The 2,149-nt window shown below is 48.2% G+C and overlaps 1 annotated feature.

Moving 5' to 3' along the window:
* Positions 419-619: a silencer, noted in NCBI's record as "peak2133 fragment used in MPRA reporter construct". NCBI's record gives its function as "represses an SCP1 promoter by STARR-seq MPRAs in K562 erythroleukemia cells {active_cell/tissue: K562}" and the evidence as "EXISTENCE:reporter gene assay evidence [ECO:0000049][PMID:32103011]".

The following is a 2,149-nucleotide window of genomic DNA, read 5'->3' as shown; positions in this document are numbered from 1 at the left end:
CTGCACTTCTGGGGCAACCTGAGGACACTCCCTCACAGAGGCAGGGGCTGAAGAAGATAAAGAAAACTTTAGGCCGGGCGCGGTGGCTCACGCCTGTAATCCCAGCACTTTGGGAGGCCGAGGCGGGTGGATCATGAGGTCAGGAGATCGAGACCATCCTGGCTAACACGGTGAAACCCCGTTTCTACTAAAAAAAAAAAAATACAAAAAATCAGCCGGGCGTGGTGGCGGGCGCCTGTAGTCCCAGCTACTTGGGAGGCTGAGGCAGGAGAATGGCATGAACCTGGGAGGCGGAGCTTGCAGTGAGCCGAGATCGCGCCACTGCACTCCAACCTGGGAGACACAGCGAGACTCCGTCTCAAAAAAAAAAAAAAAAAAAAAGAGAAAACTTTAACATCCCATTTCAATTCTGCAATTCTGTATTTTTTTTTCCATGTGACACACTGGCCCCAGTAAGTAAGTGAATCACTCAATTGCTTTATCTCTCCTAATGCACTTGTTTCCTTTTCCAAGTACCAAAGTACAAGCCGCAGATTATTTTAGTGTCACATGGCTGGAGCGAAATTTATTTAGAGCCTTTGAAGACAGAAGATACTTGTAGCCTAATTCCCAGCTCCAGGAACTGTCAGGATACCTGGCACATAGTAGGGTTCAGTAAAGGTTGTTGAATGAATAATAATAATCCAAAACCTCCTCCAGCCTCTCTGATGTATCTTCCACTGCTTTTACCCTCACTCAGTCAGCCCATCCCAGCCACATGGGTGCCCTGGCTGATCTCACACACATGAAAGCATTTGTCTCCTTTTGCATTCACCGTGCTTTGGGCCTGGAATGTTTCCCCCAAGTATTTGTGGGATTGGCTCCTCTACTTCCTAAGGTCTCTGTTGAAATCTCACCTCATCAGTGAGAACTTGTCATTTCCTTCACTCCTCCGTGATTCCCCACATTCTTTCATCATACTTACCAGTGACTGATATAGTATATATTCACCTGTTTATTTAATATCTTCATCTTCCCACTAGAATGTGAGCTCCATAGGAGCAGCGACTTTGTCTTGTTCATTGCTGGATTCCCAGAGCTTAGAAACAAATACTGACTGAGTGAGTGAACAAATGACTGAATGGATGTTTTAGTCATGATTCGTCTGGTCGACAGCAACACTCACTCAAGCAAGCTCAGGTAAAGGGGATTCAACTTAATAGGAAGAATCTTACAGAAATCCAAGAATAGGAATATCGGCCAGGCGTGGTGGCTCACGCCTGTAATCCCAGCACTTTGGGAGACCAAAGTGGGTGGGTCACTTGAGGTCAGGAATTCAAGACCAGCCTGGCCAACATGGTCTTTAATATAAAAAATTAGCCGGGCATGGTGGCAGGCACCTGTAATCCCAGCTACTCAGGAGGCTGAGGCAGGAGAATCGTTTGAACCCGGGAAGCAGAGGTTGCAGTGAGCTGAGATTGTGCCACTGTACTCCAGGCTGGGTGATAGAGCCAGACTCTGTCTGAAAAAAAAACCACAAAGAGGCCGGGCACGGCGGCTGACGCCTGTAATCCCAGCACTTTGGGAGGCTGAGGCGGGCGGATTACTTGAGATTAGAAGTTCAAGACCACACTGGCCAACATGGTGAAACCCTGTCTCTACTAAAAATACAAAAATTAGCTGGGCATGGTGATGCACACCTGTAATCCCAGCTGCTCCAGAGGCTGAGGCAGAATCGCTTGAACCCAGGAGGCAGAGGTTGCAGTGAGCTGAGAGGGTGCCACTGCACTCCTGCCTGGGCCACAGAGTAAGACTCCATCTCAAAAGAAACAAACAAACACACACACACACACACACACACACACACACACACACACACACACACACACACACACAAAGAAACAAAACAAAGCAAAACAAAGGGAATGTTGACAGCCTCCTTGGTAGGGCCTGGCATCCTGGAGGCAGGAACTAGAGAGAGCTGCCAGGGCAGGGAAGATCTTGCTTCCAGCACTGTGCCATTACCACATTGCACACCTTCTCCTCTCATCGGCTACCTGTTTCCTTGAACTTCGGCTTGTACCATGCCACATGATAGTCCCAGCTCTGAGTTTGCCTCATCACCTCTCTATTGGCTCTCTCAGTCTCAGTTTATCAAAAGAGGAACCAA

This window comes from Homo sapiens, chromosome 14 (assembly GCF_000001405.40).
Source record: "Homo sapiens chromosome 14, GRCh38.p14 Primary Assembly".
Classification (NCBI taxonomy): Eukaryota; Metazoa; Chordata; class Mammalia; order Primates; family Hominidae; genus Homo; species Homo sapiens.
The sequence above is the reverse complement of the archived record's forward strand: the minus strand, read 5'-3'. Positions and strand labels throughout refer to the sequence as shown.